The sequence below is a fragment of the Homo sapiens genome, chromosome 6, assembly GCF_000001405.40.
Source record: "Homo sapiens chromosome 6, GRCh38.p14 Primary Assembly".
NCBI lineage: Eukaryota > Metazoa > Chordata > Mammalia > Primates > Hominidae > Homo > Homo sapiens.
The window spans coordinates 5,675,604-5,699,328 of record NC_000006.12 but is presented as its reverse complement, the minus strand read 5'-3'; the positions used below and the strand labels follow the sequence as shown (position 1 = coordinate 5,699,328).

The 23,725-nt window shown below is 41.8% G+C and overlaps 1 protein-coding gene and 1 long non-coding RNA gene across 14 annotated transcripts in view; one reads left to right on the top strand and one right to left on the bottom strand.

Moving 5' to 3' along the window:
* Positions 1–23,725, bottom strand: part of FARS2 (phenylalanyl-tRNA synthetase 2, mitochondrial) — a 521,650-nt gene that overhangs the window by 72,255 nt on the left and 425,670 nt on the right. The window contains exon 7 of one of the 13 annotated variants that reach the window (XM_011514248.4): positions 5,694–6,021. The exons of the other annotated variants lie outside the window; for them this stretch is intronic. Coding sequence (XP_011512550.1) covers positions 5,988–6,021 — 34 coding nt within the window. The 3' untranslated portion in view covers positions 5,694–5,987. Of the gene's footprint in view, positions 1–5,693; positions 6,022–23,725 lie in introns of those variants that run through there. 13 annotated transcript variants of the gene reach the window in all.
* LOC101927950 (uncharacterized) overlaps positions 4,057–23,725 on the top strand; it is a 30,288-nt gene continuing 10,619 nt past the window's right edge. The window contains exons 1-2 of the long non-coding RNA NR_110842.1: positions 4,057–4,184; positions 4,321–4,447. This is a non-coding gene — a long non-coding RNA (uncharacterized LOC101927950). The remainder of the gene's footprint in view (positions 4,185–4,320; positions 4,448–23,725) is intronic.

The following is a 23,725-nucleotide window of genomic DNA, read 5'->3' as shown; positions in this document are numbered from 1 at the left end:
CAAAGCTGAACTGTGCAAAGAGGAATCAAGCATCCCTTAGCAGAAGTAGACTTAAAGGGGAAGGAATGAGGAAGGAGACCATTAAAGAAGTTAATGAGAGAGAACAAGAGAAGGGCTTGAGAAGTCTGAATGATTCCTGGTAGCAGGCTCCCTGTGGAGAAGTAACCCTATCACATTCAATGCCACTCTACAGGGGGCTGTTGCTATGGGGTGGGCTTGTAAAAGGCCCTACCAGGATCCCAAAGACCCTGTGAACTGTAGTCTACTTTGATATACAGCCCTTCCCAGCAGTCTGAGTTACCTGCACAGCACAGTGCCTTCCCTCTGCTTCCAGGCACATGGGGGAATTGCCTGTGCCCGCCCCTTAGCAGTTGGCAGGACACGCAGGTGGTGTGGCTTGGTTCCCTGCAGCCCAGCAGCCCCAGGAACAACCGAGAGAGAAGATCCCCCACAGACCAGCTCTGTGTGTGAGAATGATGCAGAGGGCACCCCACCCACACATGGCCAGAGTGAGAAACACACTTCTGTTGGGTGAGTTCACAGAGATTCTCAGGTGATTTGTTACTGCAACACAAGCCTGGGCGATCCTGACTGATACACTAATCAGCCGGACCCACACCCTGTGGGCCAGGTCCAGGAGCCTGGCAGAGGTGATATGAGGCCTGGTGAGCCTGCTGGAGAACTGCCCAGATTCCATTTATATGGGGGACATTGCTTGAAGATCTTGATCCTAATAACTCACCTAACCTCCAGGACCACTGGTGAAACTTGGCAAGACCTCACATGTTAGAAGGGTTGCCTCAGCTCCGGAAGCTTTCCTTGTGATATGGTTTGGATACTTGTCCCTGCCCAAATCTCATGCTGAGTTATAATCCCCAATGCTGGAGGTGGGGCCTGGTGGGAGGTGTTTGGATCCTAGGGGTGGATCCGTCATGGCGCAGTGAGTTCTCATGAATTCTGGTGCGTGTGGCACCTCCCTCCCCCTACTCTCTCTCACTTGCTCCTGCTTTCGCCATGTGACGTGCCTGCAGCCCCTCGGCCTTCCACCATGATTGTGAGCTTCCCGAGGCCTCCCTAGAAGCTGAGCATATGCCAGCATGATACTTCCTGTACAGCCTGCAGAACTAACAGCCAACTAAACCTCTGTCTTTATAAATTATTTAGTCTCAGGTATTTCTTTATAGCAGTGCAAGAAGAGTCTAATAAACCTTGTGAGTAAGATATTTCCTAAATCAGTGCTGCTGGCTGTGGTGCTTTATCTTTTCTTCCCTTGTCCTCCCATATCACAGCGAGCGAGAATCAGACATCATTATTTGGCTTTCACTTCTGCTGTCTACTTCAACCCATGCTGCATTTTCTACATTGAGTTCTAACTAAAGAGCATGACACAATCTGCTGCGAAGAAAATTGAAATAATATTGGATTTTTTTTTAAATTAAAAAAACAAGTGTTGCTTTTAAGTTGAGGATTTAGCTTGATATTCTTTTCAGACCTCTCACTTCATGCCCAACCAAGGAGAGTTCACAGGGCTCTAATGCCACTCAGCTAAACTTTACCCTGAAATGAGATATTTGAAGTCTGCAAATGAATGCAAAACAGGTTCTGTGTGAACAAGGTATTAAAACAATGACCTGAAACTACTTCAAAGGTGAATCATCAATTTTAGTTATATCTCATGATTTTGCCTTTGTTTGTTGAAAGCCATACTTATTTCTCAAGTCAATAATGAGGAATGTCCTAGAAAAATATTCTTCTTGCATCAGACAGGGTCAGGAAGTGGAAAGAGTATTGCATTGGATACTCATTATTTTTAAATTGAATTAATGAAAAAATTAGAGCCCAATTTTTTCTTTGTAAAATGAAGGAGTTAGAAGTCTTTCATCTCCAAAGTTTTATGCAATGATGGCTTAAGATTCCCTTCAATGGTGGATGTGACTCTATCTTGGCTGGAAATCTGAGCGTTTTTCAAAGGAATTCTCAGATTCTCTTATACGTTGTCAAATTCTCCAGCCATCGGTCTGTTTCCTTCACCTCTTATATAACTCAATTTTAAAAAGACAAAAGTCATTCTAATCAATCATCAGTTCGGCCATCAATTTGCTCTCTTTGCTTAGACATAATCTTGCAATTGTTATCTGTATTTAAATTTGTAGCCTGTTAAAAATAAAGCCCATGTGAGCTTACCGGTATTTTCCAAATTTTGACAATCAATGTGTCACTTTGTAAATAGAAAAAAAAAAGGTATTAACGTATACATGGAATTGGATAAGACTTCAGAAAGTATCTTTCCAAAAAAACTATTTTCTCCTATTTCTGCTAGGCTGAAGAACTCACCTAGCTAGAGAAACTCACTCCCAAGAGGTTCTAGCTGGTTTTGCTAAAACTTTTATTATCTTTACTGCTTATTAAGTCACTGATATCTGTTCTCCATGGTTGGATAAGTTTTATCTGTCAACATGGGATGATTTACTTATGCTGCTTCTTGCAAACAGGGCCCTAATAAATGAATGTCTTCCACATTGTATTTTTAGAAATGAGCATTTTATTATAAAAATGATGTATGTTCATAGTAAAAAATTTAAATTGTATGCATATGAACTGCAAAGTAGATAATACCCTCAATTCCAGTCCTCAGTAGATAATTGTTAATGATTTCCTTTCTATCTTTATAGATATTTCCTATGCACAAAGGTTTACATGTTCATACAAACAAAAAATGGAATAATTTATAGAATATTTTATACCTTAGTTCTTTCAATACATCTTTGTTTTCTTTACTTAATGGTGTATAGAATACTTTATAATGGCTACTTGAGGGGCCATACCTATTGTGGAATATTTAATTTCATATCTCTACTGGCTACACATGAGATCCAGAGCAAAAATATAAGGAAACAAAACAAAATATATGTGCCATGCCCTATAAAAAAAATCTTAGCTGGGTGATACTTAATGAGACAAGCTGTATAAAGTGCTAAAATATAAAACAAGATTCAAATAAAAAATAATAATGGCTACTAGTGTTTGCTAGTACAAACATTCTACAATTTATTTAATCAGTCTTCTATTGATGAAGTTTCTGGCATTGCAATGAATATTGCAGTACCCGTATCTTTGAATACCTATATTAAAATATTTGTGGAATAAATAAATGCTGAGTCAAAGAGTGTGTATTTTCAGTTTTAATATAGAGTTGTACCGATTTGCATGTCCACAGACAATGTAGATGGAGGGTACCTGTTGTCCTGCACGCTTGACAGCACTGAACATTATCCACTTCTAAAATCTTTGTCAAACCTACAGCTGAAAATGTCATTTGCAGCAAATAATTTGTATTTCTCTAATCATGAGTGAGGCTGAGCATCCTGTCCCATGTTCACAGCAGTCTGTATGTCTCGTGCTCACCGACTGTTGAAGAGTTTTTTGTTATGTTTTAAAAAATTGGCCTTTTATCACAGCCTGGCAGTCTCCTTCCCCACCCACTAGTTTGTTATACATTCCTGATCCAATTTTTTGGTGCGGTTTGTTGAGCAGAAGCCTTAAATGTTTACGTGGCTAAATTAATCACTCTTTTCCTTTATGGCTTCTGAGTTCCCCATTAGGTTTACTTTTCCAAGAAAGGAAGAACTGCTTCTAATTTAATCTCTATAATCAGCTGAGAGTAGTTGGAGAGGCTGGGTCCATTACTTATATATGGTGTGACCTTCTACAAGTTACTCATCCTCCCAGAACTTCAATTTCCTCATCTGTAAAATTGGGATAATAAAAGTGCCTTTAAAGGCTTCTCGTCAAGACCAAGTAAAATAATGTGGTTACAACTGAGTGCACGGCACACAGGAAGTGTTCAGTAAATGGTGGCTTTACTTCCCTGAGATTTTAAACACCATCACCACTTAACAGCTCCAGCAAATGAGTCACAGACATGTGGCAAATTCCTGTTTCTCTGGAAGGCAGAGAAAGCACTGGGAATGACAGCGTACCGCCCGTGGGCCAGTCCCTGGCTTGCTGTGGCACTGCCACAAATGCTGCTGTTGTGTAACTTCCTAGGAAGCAGGATTAATTCCTAGCATGGATCTTAAGTCACTCTGGGATCTAAGAGATGTTTCGATCATTCTGGGATTTATGCTTCTTGAAAAGGCTCAGGACAAATGGCAGTGAAGGCTACGTGGATACACAGTTTGTGGGTAAGCACAGCGTCATCACCTTAACTTTCATGAGAATGAAAAGAAGAAATTGCTCAAGAAAAAACCAGAATTGAGACAAGAAATACAAGTGTAAAAGCTTACATGGCATTTATATATATCTGTTTTTTTCTTTTAGAGATGGGGTCTTGCTCTATCACCCAGGCTGTAGTGCAATAGTGTGAGCATAGCTCACTGCGGCCTCGAACTCTTCCAGGGCTCAAACGATCCTCACACCTTAGCCTCCCCAATGGCCAGGACTACAGGTGCGTGCCAGCAAGTTTGGCTAATTTTTTTTTTTTTTGTAGAGGTGTGGGGGGTTCTCACTATGTTGCCAGGCTGATCTCAAACTCCCGGCCTGAAGCAATCCTCCTGCCTAGGCCTCCAAAGGGCTGGGATTATAGGTATGAGCCACTGCACCTGGCCGTTACATGGCATTCCATATAGGATTCCTCCTTTTTCAAATGAGAACTCATAGGCACTACACATTGCTGAGTCCTTTAGAACATAGAGAGAAATATATACACCTGGTTGAAGGTCGTGCTGAATATTCACACTCGGTCTCTTATCTGATTCTATTTATCATGGCTAAATAGGTAAAAAATATATAAAATATAAAAACTCCTCCAAAGAACTCAATTATTTAAAAAGCTGCTTACTTTAACAGAGAACAGAGTCAAACTTTAACCAATTCTTATATGAAGGAATCTACTTTCCCCATAATTTCTAATCAATGTAACCTTCTATTATTCAGGAAAAAAGGTAGCCTAGATCTAAGGTATCATGATGTAACTGATTCAGAGTGGCAGTAGCTTTTTTGGTTGAATTTCAATTTCCAAATAGCTAGAAAACACTCCTGTTGGCTACCTGTTGTTAACTTAGCATCAAGACTGCTGCTCAGGTACCAGGCCTAGCATACACTGACCTTAGCTACTATAAGAAATGCTAAGGATTAGCTATATTCCTATTAACATGTTTTCAGATGTGTTTTCACCAGAGAACTCAACTTGTTTATTTCCTACAGAAACCTCTACATAGAGCACAGCACAATCTCTCAAATACAGCAGCAATGCTATCATCCAACTTACATGATCTTCCAGTGCGGCTTTGACAATCCTCCCTTTGAGAGGCGCAGGCTATGACCTCTTGCCTTGAAAATGGGTGGGCTTTTATGACTGCTCCCGCTAGTAGAGGGCGGTGGAAATGATGCTATGTGACTTCTGAGGCTAGGTGACAAAGATAGCGGAGCTTCCACCTGCTGACTTGCACACTTGCTACCATATAAGGAAGCTAACAATTCAGAAGACACTGCAGTAAGGAAGGCCAGGCCGCTTGGAGAGGTGAAATGTTCTCCAGCCATCACCCCAGCAAGTCCCAGCAGCCAGCCAGCGTCCAGTGCCAGATGTGTAAGTAAAGATGCCTCATCCCAGCCTAGCCAAGCAGTCACTCCCAGTCTTCGAGTCTTCCCAGACAAGGCCCCAGCATCACAGAATGGAGACAAGGACACGTGAGCACAATAAAATCAGTGCTTTATGTCACAAAGTTTTGAGGCAGTTTGTTACATGGCAATAGATAACCAGATTTTTACTCTAGGTTTACTTGAAAACAGGCCACCTTGCAACTGCTAAGGATAAATGATTCCCCAAAGCAGTGCAAAACTTCTGCAGAACAATGCAAACGCATTAGCCGCCTTGCCCATTAATATCCTGCTCAGCAGCCACGCTTTGGGAGGCAGTCGTTCATCTCTCCCTCCCTACATCAAAGCTAAGCAATGGATTCCCCATAAGTCATCAGGCTGCTCCAGGATTAGTGGTGAGGGGGCAGATCTGGTGAGGGTTTTCTGAAAATAAAGTAAAATATTTAGATCATTTTGCAAGTTGCTTTTCAGATGCCACATTTTTCTCTTTCATCTGTTCCAGCTGACAACGTGTGACAGTTGTCTCTGTGGCTGTTTAACCTTAAAACCATTTATCCTGAGATCATTAAAGATGAATGTCAGGCTGGATTTGCTATGTGTAAAGTAAACTAACAGGATGTTACTATGCCAGAAGAGTACAATAATAACTTATTGTTAATATTTGTTTTGCAAAACAGATGAAATACAAATTCTCTAATACAAAGTCTAACACAAAACAACGGGATGGGGAAGGGAAATATGGTATTGACTAACCTGAATCTATAAGGATCCTCATTTCTGGTGGGGAGAAAAAAAGGAGGTGGGATAAAGAGCCAGAGTATTACCTCTGAAGCTTGGGAGGGTTGGCAGCAACTTGGTGGGCTTGGTGACAGCACCCCTGATTTGGCCTTTCTGACACCTTTTAAATATCTTGACCAACATACAAGGATATAAAAATAGTGACGCACACACATCATATCCCACATGTTCACAGGTTACAAATTCAATACATTCGTCATTACATGTATTTTCACACCAGCATCTATTATCGATTTTTATACATTATAGAAATAATTTCATATTCCTCTGCTAACATTGTTTAACATAAACAGATTAAGATTTTTAACCATTAAGCAGTATATTTTTTAAGCCCATTAGCTTTTGCCTATCTATTTTCCTTCAATCTAGTTTTCAAAAATCCTATTATCAAAGTCAGTTCTGAGCATGACTTCACAGTGCCCAGCCCAGTGTGTGGTGCAGAGTGAGTACTTAGCCAATGTTTTGATGGACGGGAAAGGGAACCCCAGGCCAAAGCAGTGAATATATGGTTTGCCAAAAGATACAAAAAGGGCTAGTTATTACTTTGGCAGCTGAGGTTGAGATAAATTTTAAACAGCCTAAGAAATTCATAGAAGGGGGGTGGAGCCAAGATGGCCGAATAGGAACAGCTCCAGTCTGCAGCTCCCAGCATGAGTGATGCAGAAGACGGGTGATTTCTGCATTTCCAACTGAGGTACCGGGTTCATCTCACTGGGCAGTGTCGGACAGTGGGTGCAGAACAGTGGGTGCAGCGCACCGAGCATGAGCCGAAGCAGCGGAAGGTATCGCCTCACCCGGGAAGCACAAGGGGTCAGGGAATTCCCTTTCCTAGTCAAAGAAAGGGGTGACAGATGGCACCTGGAAAATCGGGTCACTCCCACCCTAATACTGTGCTTTTCCAGTGGTCTTAGCAAACAGCACACCAGGAGATTATATCCCGCGCCTGGCTCGGAGGGTCCTACGCCCACGGAGCCTCGCTCATTGCTAGCACAGCAGTCTGAGATCAAACTGCAAGGTGGCAGCGAGGCTAGGGGAGGGGCACCTGCCATTGACAAGGTGTGAGTAGGTAAACAAAGCGGCCAGGAAGCTCGAACTGGGTGGAGCCCACTGCAGCTCAAGGAGGTCTGCCTGCCTCTGTAGACTCTACCTCTGGGGGCATGCATAGCCAAACAAAAGGCAGCAGAAACCTCTGCAGACTTAAATGTCCCTGTCTGACAGCTTTGAAGAGAGCAGTGGTTCTCCCAGCACGCAGCTGGAGATCTGAGAACAGGCAGACTGCCTCCTCAAGTGGGTCCCTGACCCCTGAGTAGCCTAACTGGGAGGCATCCCCCAGTAGGGGCAGACTGACACCTCACACGGCCGGGTACTCCTCTGAGACAAAACTTCCAGAGGAACGATCAGGCAGCAACATTTGCTGTTCACCAGTATCCGCTGTTCTGCAGCCTCCACTGCTGATACCCAGGCAAACACGGTCTGGAGTGGACCTCCAGCAAACTCCAACAGACCTATAGCTGAGGGTCCTGACTGTTAGAAGGAAAACTAATGAACAGAAAGGACATCCACACCAAAACCCCATCTGTACGTCACCATCATCAAAGACCAAGGGTAGATAAAACCACAAAGATGGGGAAAAAACAGAGCAGCAAAACTGGAAACTCTAAAAATCAGAGCACCTCTCCTCCTCCAAAGGAACGCAGCTCCTCACCAGCAATGGAACAAAGCTGAATGGAGAATGACTTTGACGAGTTGAGAGAAGAAGGCTTCAGACGATCAAACTACTCCGAGCTAAAGGAGGAAGTTTGAACCCATTGCAAATAAGCTAAAAACCTTGAAAAAAAATTAGATGAATGGCTAACTGGAATAACCAATGCAGGGAAGTCCTTAAAGGACCTGAAAACCACGGCACGAGAACTATGTGATGAATGCACAAGCCTCGGTAGCCGATTCGATCAAATGGAAGAAAGGGTATCAGTGATGGAAGATCAAATGAACGAAATGAAGCGAGAAGAGAAGTTTAGAGAAAAAAGAATAAAAATAAATGAACAAGGCCTCCAAGAAATATGGGACTATGTGAAAAGACCAAATCTATGTCTGATTGGTGTACTTGAAAGTGATGGGGAGAATGGAACCAAGTTGGAAAACACTCCGCAGGATATTATCCAGGAGAACTTCTCCAATCTAGCAAGGGAGGCCAACATTCAAATTCAGGAAATACAGAGAATGTCACAAAGATACTCCTCGAGAAGAGCAACTCCAAGACACGTAATTGTCAGATTCACCAAAGTTGAAATGAAGGAAAAAATGTTAAGGGCAGCCAGAGAGAAAGGTCGGGTTACCCACAAAGGGAAGCCCATCAGACTAACAGCGGATCTCTCGGCAGAAACTCTACAAGCCAGAAGAGAGTGGGGGCCAATATTCAACATTCTTAAAGAAAAGAATTTTCAACCCAGAATTTCATATCCAGCCAAACTAAGCTTCATAAGTGAAGGAGAAATAAAATCCTTTACAGACAAGCAAATGCTGAGAGATTTTGTCACCACCAGGCCTGCCCTAAAAGAGCTCCTGAAGGAAGCACTAAACATGCAAAGGAACAACCAGTACTAGCCACTGCAAAATCATGCCAAATTGTAAAGACCATCGAGGCTAGGAAGAAACGGCATCAACTAACGAGCACAATAACCAGCTAACATCATAATGACAGGATCAAATTCACACATAACAATATTAACCTTAAATGTAAATGGACTAAATGCTCCAATTAAAAGACACAGACTGGCAAATTGGATAAAAAGTCAAGACCCATCAGTGTGCTGTATTCAGGAAACCATCTCACGTGCAGAGACACACATAGGCTCAAAATAAAGGGATGAAGGAAGATCTACCAAGCACATGGAAAATAAAAAAAGGCAGAGGTTGCAATCCTAGTCTTGGATAAAACAGACTTTAAACCAACAAGATCAAAAGAGACAAAGAAGGCCATTACATAATGGTAAAGGGATCAATTCAACAAGAAGAGCTAACTATCCTAAATATATATGCACCCAATACAGGAGCACCCAGATTCATAAAGCAAGTCCTTAGAGACCTACAAAGAGACTTAGACTCCCACACAATAATAATGGGAGACTTTAACACCCCACGGTCAACATTAGACAGATCAACGAGACAGGAAGTTAACAAGCATATCCAGGAACTGAACTCAGCTCTGCACCAAGCGGACCTAATAGACATCTACAGAACTCACCACCCCAAATCAACAGAATATACATTTTTTTCAGCACCACACCACACCTATTCCAAAATTGACCACATACTTGGAAGTAAAGCACTCCTCAGCAAATGTAAAAGAACAGAAATTATAACAAACTGTTTCTCAGACCACAGTGCAATCAAACTAGAACTCAGGATTAAGAAACTCACTCAAAACCGCTCAACTACATGGAAACTGAACAACCTGCTCCTGAATGACTACTGGGGACATAACGAAATGAAGGCAGAAATAAAGATGTTCTTTGAAACCAACGAGAACAAAGACACAACATACCAGAATCTCTGGGACGCATTCAAAGCAGTGTGTAGAGGGAAATTTATAGCACTAAATGCCCACAAGAGAAAGCAGGAAAGATCTAAAATTGACACCCTAACATCACAATTAAAAGAACTAGAGAAGCAAGAGCAAACACATTCAAAAGCTAGAAGGCAAGAAATAACTAAGATCAGAGCAGAACTCAAGGAAATAGAGACACAAAAAACCCTTCAAAAAATCAATGAACCCAGGAGCTGGTTTTTTGAAAAGATCAACAAAATTGAGAGACTGCTAGCAAGACTAATAAAGAAGAAAAGAGAGAAGAATCAAATAGACACAATAAAAAATGATAAAGGGGATATCACCACTGATCCCACAGAAATACAAACTACCATCAGAGAATACTATAAACACCTCTATGCAAATAAACTAGAAAATCTAGAAGCAATGGATAAATTCCTCGACACATACACCCTCCCAAGACTAAACCAGGAAGAAGTTGAATCTCTGAATAGACCAATAACAGGCTCTGAAATTGAGGCAATAATTAATAGCTTACCAACCAAAAAAAGTCCAGGACCAGATGGATTCACAGCCGAATTCTACCAGACATACAAGGAGGAGCTGGTACCATTCCTGTTGAAACTATTCCAATCAATAGAAAAAGGGGGAATCCTCCCTAACTCATTTTATGAGGCCAGCATCATCCTGATACCAAAGCCTGGCAGAGACACAACAAAAAAAGAGAATTTTAGACCAATATCCCTCATGAACATCAATGCAAAAATCCTCAATAATATACTGGCAAACCAAATCCAGCAGCACATCAAAAAGCTTATCCACCATGATCAAGTGGGCTTCATCCCTGGGATGCAAGGCTGCTTCAACATACGCAAATCGATAAACGTAATCCAGCATATAAACAGAACCAAAGACAAAAACCACACGATTATCTCAATAGATGCAGAAAAGGCCTTTGACAAAATTCAACAACACTTCATGCTAAAAACTCTCAATAAATTAGGTATTGATGGGACGTATCTCAAGATAATAAGAGTTATGTATGACGAACCCACAGCCAATTTCATACTGAATGGGCAAAAACTGGAAGCATTCCCTTTGAAAACTGGCACAAGACAGGGATGCCCTCTCCCACCACTCCTATTCAACACAGTGTTGGAAGTTCTGGCCAGGGCAATCAGGCAGGAGAAGGAAATAAAGTGTATTCAATTAGGAAAAGAGGAAGTCAAATTGTCCCTGTTTGCAGATGACATGATTGTATATCTAGAAAATCCCATCGTCTCAGCCCAAAATCTCCTTAAGCTGATAGGCAACTTCAGCAAAGTCTCAGGATACAAAATCAATGTGCAAAAATCACAAGTATTCTTATGCACCAATAACAGACAAACAGAGAGCCAAATCATGAGTGAACTCCCATTCACAATTGCTTCAAAGAGAATAAAATACCTAGGAATCCAACTTACAAGGGACGTGAAGGACCTCTTCAAGGAGAACTACAAACCACTGCTCAAAGAAATAAAAGAGGATACAAACAAATGGAAGAACATTCCACACTCATGGGTAGGAAGAATCAATATCATGAAAATGGCCATACTGCCCAAGGTAATTTACAGATTCAATGCCATACCCATCAAGTTACCAATGACTTTCTTCACAGAATTGGAAAAAAACTACTTTAAAGTTCATATGGAACCAAAAAAGAGCCCACATTGCCAAGTCAATCCTAAACCAAAAGAACAAAGCTGGAGGTATCACCCTACCTGACTTCAAACTATACTGCAAGGCTACAGTAACCAAAACAGCATGGTATTGGTACCAAAACAGAGATATAGACCAATGGAGCAGAACAGAGCCCTCAGAAATAATGCCGCATATCTACAACTATCTGATCTTTGACAAACCTGAGAAAAACAAGCAATGGGGAAAGGATTCCCTATTTAATAAATGGTGCTGGGAAAACTGGCTAGCCATATGTAGAAAGCTGAAACTGGATCCCTTTCTTACACCTTATACAAAAATTAATGCGAGATGGATTAAAGACTTAAATGTTAGACCTAAAACCATAAAAACCCTAGAAGAAAACCTAGGCAATACCATTCAGGGCATAGGCATGGGCAAGGACTTCGTGTCTAAAACACCAAAAGCAATGGCAACAAAAGCCAAAATTGACAAATGGGATCTAATTAAACTAAAGAGCTTCTGCACAGCAAAAGAAACTACCATCAGAATGAACAGGCAACCTACAAAATGGGAGAAAATTTTTGCAATCTACTTATCTGACAAAGGGCTAATACCCAGAATCTACAATGAACTCAAACAAATTTACAAGAAAAAAACAACCCCATCAAAAAGTGGGCAAAGGATATGAACAGATACTTCTCAAAAGAAGACATCTATGCAGCCAACAGACACATGAAAAAATGCTCATCATCACTGGCCATCAGAGAAATGCAAATCAAAACCACAATGAGATACCATCTCACACCAGTTAGAATAGCGATCATTAAAAAGTCAGGAAACAACAGGTGCTGGAGAGGATGTGGAGAAATAGGAACACTTTCACACTATTGGTGGGACTGTAAACTAGTTCAACCATTGTGGAAGTCAGTGTGGCAATTCCTCAGGGATCTAGAACTGAAATACCATTTGACCCAGCCATCCCATTACTGGGTATATACCCAAAGGATTATAAAACATGCTGTTATAAAGACACATGCACATGTATGTTTATTGTGGCACTATTCACAATAGCAAAGACTTGGAACCAACCCAAATGTCCAACAATGAAAGACTGGATTAAGAAAATGTGGCACATATATACCATGGAATACTATGCAGCCATAAAAAAGGACGAGTTCATGTTCTTTGTAGGGACATGGATGAAGCTGGAAACCATCATTCTTAGCAAACTATAGCAAGGACAAAAAACCGAACACCACATGTTCTCACTCATAGGTGGGAATTGAACAATGAGAACACATGGACACAGGAAGGGGAACATCACACACTGGGGCCTGTTGCGTGGTGTGGGCAGCGGGGGGGGAGAGCATTAGGAGATATACCTAATGTTAAATGACGAGTTAATGGGTGCAGCACACCAACATGGCACATGTATACATATGTAACAAACCTGCATGTTGTGCACATGTACCCTAAAACTTAAAGTATAATAATAATTAAAAAAAGTTCATAGAAAGAAAGACTGTTATCATCCACAATATCAAACCTGCATGACTTCTGCAGACATCTATTGAGCACTCACTATGGCCCAGGCACTGTGCTAAGAAATGCAGGGGAAACAGATGAAATCTCATCATCCACCAGTCTTTCTTGGGCGTGCTTCTGGGAGCTGTAAATTCAGCTCCGGCATCATTTTCACCCTTCACGTGGGAATCCTGAGGCAGCAGAAGTGATCTGAATATCCTCCGAGTGGTCTTGTGGGAAGAGTATTCTAAAGTTATTCAATCTAAATAACATCATTTAAAAATTACAGTCTTCATTTTTGCTAATACAAGGAGAGTTTTCTCACCTTAAAATTGGAGGAAATATTGTCAAGCAACTAGACTTGAATAGGAAGGGGCCCAATATGGGCCTCTTCTAGGAAGCCCTTGAGTGCGGCCTCAGCTCTGGTCCTGGGTGAGGCCTATGGTAGCTGGTCCAAGAGAGGGTATAGCATGTTCCCCTTACCCCAGCGTCCAGCCCCCTAGGCCTAAAGCAAAAACCTCGTACGCTTTATCTACTCCAGGTAGAATTTAAAATGCCTTCTCCAGCCCAGAGTCACTCTGGCTTAAATTGCTCCCCAATCCAAGTTCTGCCTACACTGTGCAGCAGAGTAGGCCAGGTCCTGAGGACACCCCTCATTCACTGCAGTCACACAGTGGGCCAGTCACCTCAGGACTAAAGCCACCCTGGTGCAATAGTGACTTGCAGGGTGTTGCAAAGAGGCCTAACTGCTCACCTCCGTGGCCACGATTTAGGATGGGTTGGAAGGACTGGACAGGGCAGTTCTGAAGCCAGCCATTGGATCTCCCCACCTAAATCTTTTCAATACTTTAGTGTGAAGAGACCCAGAGGAAACCAAGGGGGGATCTTAGTTCCTGTACCTGGCTCAAAAATAATGAATCCTTTATGAAAAAGCAACTATACGTACAAGGGAAAAAAATTCTTCCTTGAAATGGCAGATGTGAGGAAACTATTGATTGGTTCTGGCCCCAAATGATAGGAACCCTCCCCTTTTGCTTCCATTCTGCTTGCGGCTGCCTCTGCTGCTTCTTGGGCTGGCTGTGAAGAGCCTCCTGCCTCCAAGTGACAACCCCACACACTGATATCATGAGCCTCCATGGGTTCCACGGTGTTTAGGGTCAAGGGTTCTGAGTTTCTTTACTTCAAGAAGAGAAATTATAAAGAAAATTGCTCTCCGGCTCCACTTAATCTTTTTTCCTTGATTGCTAAGGGGGAAGGCACACAAATTCTTCCCTGGCTGGTGAATGGGCAATCTGAATGACTTCAGAAGCTTAAATAGAGTGCTGGGAGTGACAGAAACCTGTCTTAATAGAGTCCTTTCACAAACATAATAGAATTCGGCTCCTGTTAGCAAGAAAAACATCTGATGGCTGAGATTAGCTCCCTAAATTGTCCTTTCAACATCCATTCCACCTCTCCACTCAATGTGTAAGATGTCTCCTTTAGGTGACAGGTACTGGGATTTTTGAGATGGTATTTAAGAGAGAGAAAGAAGCTTCCTGACTGGAAGCACTAAGCAGTGCTTGGAGGGTGAAGCTAGCTCCTTGTTGCAGCTTTTTGTTTATACAGCTGGCTTACTCTAGGGTAAGGGTGATGGAAATAGCTCTTGGAAATAAAGCGCAGCATTTGCTAACATAGGAGGGCAGTGATCATGAAAACAAGCGAATCACCTTAGTTGGCAGAAATCCTCAGAGAATGACATGCCAGTTTAATTTTCTGGATACTCAGGGATTCATAAGGACATCATCCCTTGGTCTCACTCTTGAAGGGACTCTTTCTCAGCTGTAGTTTTGCATACTAGTGCGCAGGGCTGGGCAGGTGATGGGCGTGCGGCAGAACCAGGTGAGGGGCCGGGGACGTGTCAGTGGGGTTTATTATGAACACAGCTGGCACATCGGGGATGGTCCTCTGAGGACCCAGGCTGTGACTGCTCATGCACAGGAATGCAGGTAACAATGATGACACCGTTATTCACCTGAATTAGGCTTTAAGCGGTTGACAAAGCTCTGAAAGGCAAGCCGGGCAGGTATACAAGAAACCGCGTTCTGAGGGGGAAAGTTATAATCTCTCTATAAAACTGCTATTTTGAGCAAAGGCTTGGAACCAACCCAAATGCCCATCAGTGATAGACTGGAAAAAGAAAATGTGGCACATATACACCATGGAATACTATGCAGCCATAAAAAAGAATGAGTTCATGTCTTCTGCAGCAACACAGATGAAGCTGGAAACCATCATTCTCAGCAAACTAACACAAGAACAGAAAACCAAATACCACATGTTCTCACTCATAAGTGGGAATTGAAGAATGAGAACACATGGACACAGGAAGGGGAACATCACATACCGGGGCCTGTCGAGAGGTAGAGGGCAAGGGGAGGGAGAGCATTAGGACAAATATCTAATGCCTCCGGGGCTTAAAACCTAGATGACGGGTTGACGGGTGCAGCAAACCACCATGGCACATGTATACCTATGTAAATAACTTGCAGTTCTGCACATGAATCCCGGAACTTAAAGTAAAAGAAAAAAAAAAAGAAAAAAACAAAAACAAAAAAACACTGCTCTTTTGTAGCAGAGGTGGACCAGACTCACGTTTCCCAGCTCCTAGGCTGGTGGTCTCTCCTGTATCCCTAGAAATCCTTTTCCTGCCCTGAAGAGACAGCCAGGGAATTCTGGGAGTGAGGAGCAGCTCCCAGACTAACTTAGCACACTGGAATCAAAGCTAGGCAAATGTTCACCCAGGAATAATAAAACCTATTCCTTCTTCCTCCCAGAAAATGACATCACTATTCACCTGCTCACTTAGTCCCAAACCCAGGATGTGTCCTTGTCTCCTGGCTTTTCCTCACACCCTACAGAGCATGCCCTGTGCATTCTGCCTTCAGAGTGACCCTGACTCTCTCCATTCCTGTGCCCGCCCTCCCAGTCCAGGCCACCCAGACGGCTGAAAGCCTCTAACAGCCCTCTGCTACCCTCTTCTCTGACAGTCCATTCTCTCAATAAGTCAGATCACATGCTAAATGAGTAAATCTGTCCCACCCCTTAAAACCCTCCATCTCACTTAGACCCCAGGCTGAGGCCCACACAGCCCTACATGTCCCAGCCCCTGCTTCCCTCTCTGAACACGTTTCTTCCCACAGCCATGTCAAACTCGGTTCTGCCTCAGTGCCTTTGCACGTGCTGTTCCCGCTATGTCCCCAGCCTTTCCATGGTCCCTTACTTCCCTGCTTTCTCAGGAGTCTTCCCTGACTCTCCTTAAAATGAGTTACTGCTTTTCACTTCACTCTCTGCCCCACACACTCCTTTACTTTTCTTCACTGCGGGTGTCACTACTTGAAATCACACTGCAGATGAACTTATTCACTTATTTAGTTTAGTGTCTGTCTTTCGCAATGCCTGGAAGCTCCATGAGGGCAGAGCCTTGTCATCCTGGTCCCTATGTATCAGCTGCAGCTGAACAGGACCTGGCTGACAGCAGGGCTCCGTACCTATTGAGTGCATGGATAAAAGAATGACATGCAAGGCAAGGGGGAAAAGCCCCATCTGCTCACTAAGGACTGAACAGACCAACTGGAGTCCAGCACAGGACGTTTTACATAAATTCAGTGTGGAAAAGAATGACACATTCAGTGTTCCCTTCGGATAGAGCCAGGCTGCCCATAATAACATCTTTGCAAATGAATTCCACCACCCCTACTTTATACTTCTTTACAACTTATTATTAAACTACCTTAAAAAAATACAAGGGTCTTGCATAGTGTCTGGTATATGATGAAATTTCAATATTTATTGCCGAATTTAAAAAATTTCTCATCTGCCATTAAATTTTCTTTTTCCCTGCTTCCTCTATTTCCTTCCAATACAAATGTATATTTTTACATTGTTGTAACTATATATAGATATTAATTTGTTTCCTGTTTTTCTTTGGTAATACTTTTTGATGCTGCAACCTAGTTATTGTCATTTTTAACAGCTAGGTAATATTCCATCAAGGTGATGTACTATAATTTGCTTTTTGTAGTCTCCTCCTTTGGGCATTCAGTTACTAAAAGTTCACTGAGAGTAGAAATGCTAAACAAATGGAGGTAGAGTCGGAAGTGTCCTTTTAGCAGAACCAAAACCACATGCTGACCAGGGCAGAGTAAAATGGCATGCTGGTCTGTCACCCAGCAGCCTGAATTCCGACTCTTTACCACGTTAGTTTATTAGAGCAAACTGTAGGTTGCTGTTAGAAAGCTCTAAATCACTTTACAAATTATTGATGAAAGAATGACTTCAAGCACCAAACAAATGTAGCCACCAGCCTCAGGAAAAGCACCAAAAGAGGGAGGGATCCAGAGAAGGAAGGGAGGGGGAGAAGCAACAGCTCTAAGGAAGCTGAGAAGACTTCAACAAAGGCCTTGCTAGAGCCTGTTTTATTTCTTCGATCTCTTGAGAATACAGTCAGCAGTTTGTCAGCAGATGGATCAGCCAAAGTCAGAGGGGAAGAAAGGGCTTGTCTATCTTGGGGATTTCCCCACCTTTCGTTGTTAAAATGCTTCATAAGCTGCTGCAAAGGAGTGATTTTCTTCTTTTTCCGTTTTTTAAGTAACTTTTTCCCCCTGTACACAAATGAAATACTCATTGAAAATAATTTGGGAACTACGGGAAGGCATAAAGAAAGTAAAAATCACCTGTAGTCCTGTGAGCCATGGATAACCATTGTGAAAACTGGATCTGCTGTCCCGCTCTCCCTCATGGACATAACATGAATATTTATAAAATGTGAACTAGGTCACATATTCTTCTCTTTACCCTTTAAGCCCATTGTTATATTGTGAACTTTTTTTTTCAAAGGTGCACAGCTATTCTTTAAGATGTTTTAAATACCTGCAAAATAGTTCCTTGTCCAGATGAATAAACTATAATGTATTTGTTTCTCAATAGGTAACATTCAGGTTGCTTCCAAATTTTCAGTCTAATAAAGAAGAATGCAGACATCTTTGAACCTTTCTCAGATAAATCTCTTAGCACAGATTGTTAAGAAGCAGAATTACCAGATCAAGGGTATGGGCACTTCCAGGCTGATTCGTGTTGACAAAACACAAACTTGGAGATTTACACTCAACACGGCCTTCTATGAGGGCGATTATGTCACTACTTCCTCATCGGAAGCAGATATTATTGTTTTTATATTTTTAACTGTAGATGAAAAATGGAATCATTATTTTAAATTACATTTCTTTGATTACTGGTGAGGTAAAACTTTTACATTTTGTTTTCTGGCTGTAAGTGTAGATCAACTGTTTAGTGAACTGTTTTTATTGAGCTGCTGCTCATTTTTCTATTAGAACAAATTTTGTTTTCACTGGTTGTTGGAGCTACTGTAACAGTACTTTGTAGAAGCAAAAAAAAAAAAAAGACAACGTCTGTACTTTTTGCAGAACAAACAAGAGGTGCATGAAAACAAAATTAGAAGGAAATATACCAAAATGTTGACCAGGGGTTATGGATTAGGTGGTAGGACTGTGGGTACTTGCTGAATTTTCTAGAAGCAGCCTAATAAAAAGGTAACAATAAACCATCTTCCATATACGCCTCATGTGGTGCTGATGGCAGGACCGATGGGGCAGCTGTATGGGAAATACAGGGAGGACTGATTTTCCTTTTATTTCTAGTTGATCATAATTCTCATTTAGCGTTTTCCCTATGTTCACCTGTGTTGTTGATAGAGATGCCTACCAGAAATCCTTTTCTAGCTGGCCCTGTGGATAAACAATGGCAGGTGACAGCTGCCCAAGCTGGTGGTGTGGATGCTTATGCGTAACCCATGGCTACTCATGCCTAACCCGTGGCTACTCTGACCATCAGCTGCAGCCTTGTTTTCCTGGTTATGTGTCTCAGTGTTGGTTGGGCACCTTCACTGAAGTACAACTTTGCTCACATTCACACAACGTCCAAGCACACACAAGTGCTCTGAGCATAAGCATTGTTTCTAATGCCTTCATCAAGACCCTAACAGCATCAGAGCTACGCTACATTCTGTAGAAAATCAAATAATCATTAAAATAACTGTGATTATGTAGCAAGAAGGAAAGATTGCTGTGGACATATACCTGGCAATAGCTGTTTCCATATTGGGTTGGAGGATGAAATTCAACTTTAGAGGGAGAACAACTCTTTAGGAAAACACTTTGATGAATTTTCTTATGAAAAGTAATGCCCTCAGGAACCGGGAAGTAAAACGGAAAGTAAAAGGATCTCACTCTAGGGTGTTGTTATGAAGGAAATGTGTGCGTTGGGGGGTGGGGGTGGGGGAAGTGAGGGTTCCTCTGAGTCAGGACAAAAAAGATAGGAGTTTTGGGAGGACCAGGCACTCAGGAAAAACCAGGAAAGGATAGAAGCTTTTCTAAAGAGACGGCTGCTTCCAGGTATGAATCTATTCACAGGGCAAGGATGGAGAGTAAGAGATTATGGTGATGAATCACTGATAAACTGTCAAAACTGCAATGTGGAAATTCAATTTTAATAGTTTCCTCTCCATTATTTCTTTTGAAAGGCATTGTACTGTTTAGGAGACCCTGGGAAAAGAGGGAGGTAAGGCGATCAGTATTGTGGACATGTTAACAACCCAGGGAGTGTTGACAGAGGGGTGATGGAGGAGGGTCTTGAAGCCAGAATTTAGAGCTGGAGGAGGCAGGAGGACATAAATAACCCCAGGCAATCTGCAAAAGCACTCAACAGGGCAGGCCAGTGCAGTAGGGCTTAATGTTTTTATTTGGATTTTAGAGGGAAGGGTAGAAGGAGGCTGGTGACCCCAGGACACATTTTGGTCGCAATTATGTTCCAGAGGCTGGTATCACTCATTTTGAGGACCAAGTTTTAATGTCTTGTGCAGCTAAGGTCTCTCAGGATATAGAGGGTATCACCCCTAGAAAGCATAGCCTGAAGGAAGCATTAGAAACTGAGAGGTTTGCTTTGTCACCTCGGTTTTCTGGCCTTCAACAGGTCAATTGCAGCATGTCATCTCTTCACCAGCAAAAAAATTTGTGAGACTATTTCCTAAGGACAAGCCTCTGGCAGGATGTTCCTAGAGCTTAGCTTACTATTCCAGCCACAAATCAATGTGTTTCAGACATTCCTTCTGATCCAAGGGGCACCACTTCTGGATCAAGACAAGACTGCAGCCTAATTCACCAGGTCATAAAACAGACAGTGGGGAAAATCTCCAGGAAGCACACAGCAGGTATTTCCGCATTCGGTCAGCTGGTAGAACTTTCAGAGAAGTTCTTGGGAAATTTACAGAGCTCATTCCAAAACTTTGGAGAAAGAGGGGCTTAAAATAGAAAATGAATTATTTATCATATTCTCTCTGTAACTCACAGACTTTAAAGAGCACGTACCAGGGTGTTTCCCTCCTAGCTTCCATACCACTCAGCCAGGTAGGTCCCTCTTTGGCCCTTCTGAAGGATGTGGGAATGAGACATGTTTGAAGCTCCAGAGGCCAAGAAGAGTGCAAGCAGCCCTCGTATTACAAAGGATGGCTATGTGTGAAATGAGGTGAATCTCTTCCCTGAGAGATTATTTACTTATAAAGTAAGAGGCTATCTGCAGCAGTGGTTGAGGGCGCAGCACTGACAATGCAGACTATAAAAGTATGTCCTCTCTGATGTAAACTTAGTGCCTCTGAAAGAAGCCATGGCCTGAGGGGCTAATCCCAGCCAACAAGTACCCTCTTCCAGGAGGCCAAAGCGTCTCCTCAAGGCACCAGCTCAGATTTCCTATCTCCCTCCCATCCACCTTTCCTCCCAAGTCTACAAAGGATGGCAACCTTCAAGCGTTGATGGAAATGTCCCTTAAAACATGGACATCTGCTAAGTCTACAAAATAGTCTTGGCTGCTTATCAGACCTCCAGGAACTTGGGTGAGGTGTGGTAAGGGGAGGGGACGTGGGAGGCTAGAAACACAGGCACCTTTTAGAGGATGCTTCTTTGAGAAAGAGATTGTGACAAACTGTTTATGTGTTGGCTTCCCTCATGAGGTTTCTCACTGAGTTCCCCCTTTCTACGACTGCTTCCCAGGCTCTTCGTTTTGCTCAGCTCAAAGCCTCGGAGGCTTTGATGCCTTGATCTCTCTTGCTTTTCTCTTAGTTTTCTCTCTCAGTTTTCCACATCCATCCATTTCTTGCAATTTTCAAAGATGCCATTCGAATCCATACTTTCATTGTTGCCATCTGCATTAACAGACTGCCTGACAGACTGATTCATTCACTCATTCATTCCTCACCCATTTACTGCACTCCTCCTTGGTGCTGGGCATGAGACATAATTCCTACCCTCAGGAATTTCACAATCAAGTCAGCAAACAGACATGTGAACCCTTCAAGTAGCTGCGAGATAAAACTATATGTGTGAGAAATGAACACACACTCTGTTATATAAGCTCACAGGGAAGAACAATGACTCTTGCCTTTGACTCTTTGACTACAGCCCCTTGCTTGGCTTTGCATGGGCTGGGTAGCCACTCCTCTCTGTCCTACTCATTGAAGCCAGGATAATTTCCCAAAGCATCACTGCAAGGCCACTGTCACTAACAGGGACTTACCTGTGGCACTGGCTCCCACACAGGTGTCTTGGTTCTGATTGTTGGAAAGTATTTGGAGCAGAACACTTAAATGCTCTACTGCCAGAGAAGTCTAGCCAGAGGAATTTGATTACGCTGGTTCATTGCCAAGTTCTTTAACCAATATTACAGTGTGAAGGGGCGAGGCAGAGGCAGGAGCATTTGTACCTTGCCAGAGAGGAAAGCCGGAAGAAATAACTTGAATGGGAGCTAGGAGGAGATAGAAGAAAGCAGAACACAAACCTTACCTACTTTACGGTTCCTCTTCAGACCAGGCCTTTTTAATTATGGTTGCTTTGATTCTCAGTATTTATACCATGCCAATATAAAAAGAAAGCAAGACACATGGTTTGCTCAAGAATTTGTTATGATTCACAAATTTATATGAAAGTTAATCATCTTTGGTTATATAAAAATTAATCATCTTTGGTTTGTTTTAAATGAAAAAATAACATTTCATGAAATTAATTGAAAACAGTTTTAGATGTGTGGGCACTTTAAATACACATATGGCTCTGAATTGAGATTGATTTTTAAAAATAATTGTTTCCAATGATAATAACCATCTCCTGGTTGTTCCAGGAATGACTATACTCTGTGGTTTTCTCAAATGGAATTTTCTTTGTACTAGGTAAATATTGAGACAACATTTAAGTTGGCTCAAGTCTGTCTATATTGATTGCAGAAAGCAGCAAATATCACAGGACAATACCAGAATGAGAGAGGGAATCTCGCAGTCATAAGACGGGGCATACACTTGAGATTGACTACCAAGATTTTCTCTAACATAGAATAAAAGCACACACTAAGTCCTAGTAAGTTTGGGAGCATTCAATAGATAATTAAACAAAATGAAAGTCTCACATTCAGAAATATGACTTCAGATATAATTCTTTTAACTGCTGTGAGCACTTTCTATAAAAATCCTATTTGCAATCATTGAATATATGATTATAAGGCATGTGGCATACAGTCCACCTTCATGTGACATTGTAAATGTCCTTATTGCTAGCTCTGCTCTTTGCAATGGTTTTATTTGAATGTTATTGAGAATTAAAGCAGATCCCAGACTCGGACACCACAGGCATGTGCAATAAAATATATCGTTAGTCTCATAATTTTAAAATAGATTATATAAATCCAAATTTGCAAATATGTATCCAGTCTAATATGTGTACTGTTTGTATTTAACGAATACAAAATCCAATTGAAGGCCATGCCTAATCTGAGAATGTAGGAGGAAAGAGAAGAATCAAATAAATGAAATCATCTATAAAAGACAAGAGCAGAATCCCTTCATTCATCTCACGCTCGGTTCAAGTGTGTTTCCTTTAGGACTGGAGCTGACATCTTTGAGTGTCCTTAAGAAAAGCTTCTTGCGTACATAAATGGGCTGTGCTAAATTAAGCCTTTCTGTCACAAACTTGAGTCAGGTTGTTTTGACTGCCATTTTACTATTTTTTTTTATATGAGCCTAACCAAATTTAATAGTAGTTATCTTTATTTTAATTTATACTTTAAGTGCTTCCTTCATTCAGTAAAAAAAGTGAAATTTCCCTCAGGTGAGAAAAAAAAGAATGATTTTCACCTTGGGTTCAATGCAGCATATGCCATGATTATGACCGAGACGTTGTTCAATATGTAGGAAAGGTGATTAGGAAAACAAATTCTGTGCTATGCAAAAGACAGTGAAATTTAACTTCCTACCGGATATGTTAGCCAATGGAAAACAATGAAAACGATGTGTCTTCTGTAGGTTATTATGAATTGTCCAGGTTTATTTTATTCACCTCTGAAATTTTTACTGAATTTGGTAAAGATCAGCTCTCCCAGGCACTTCTGTGGAACTTCTCTTTACGTTTTCTAAGTTACTCTTTCAAAATGAAATATTCAGAAACTTGGAGACACAAATCTCAAAGACATACTGTATAATTA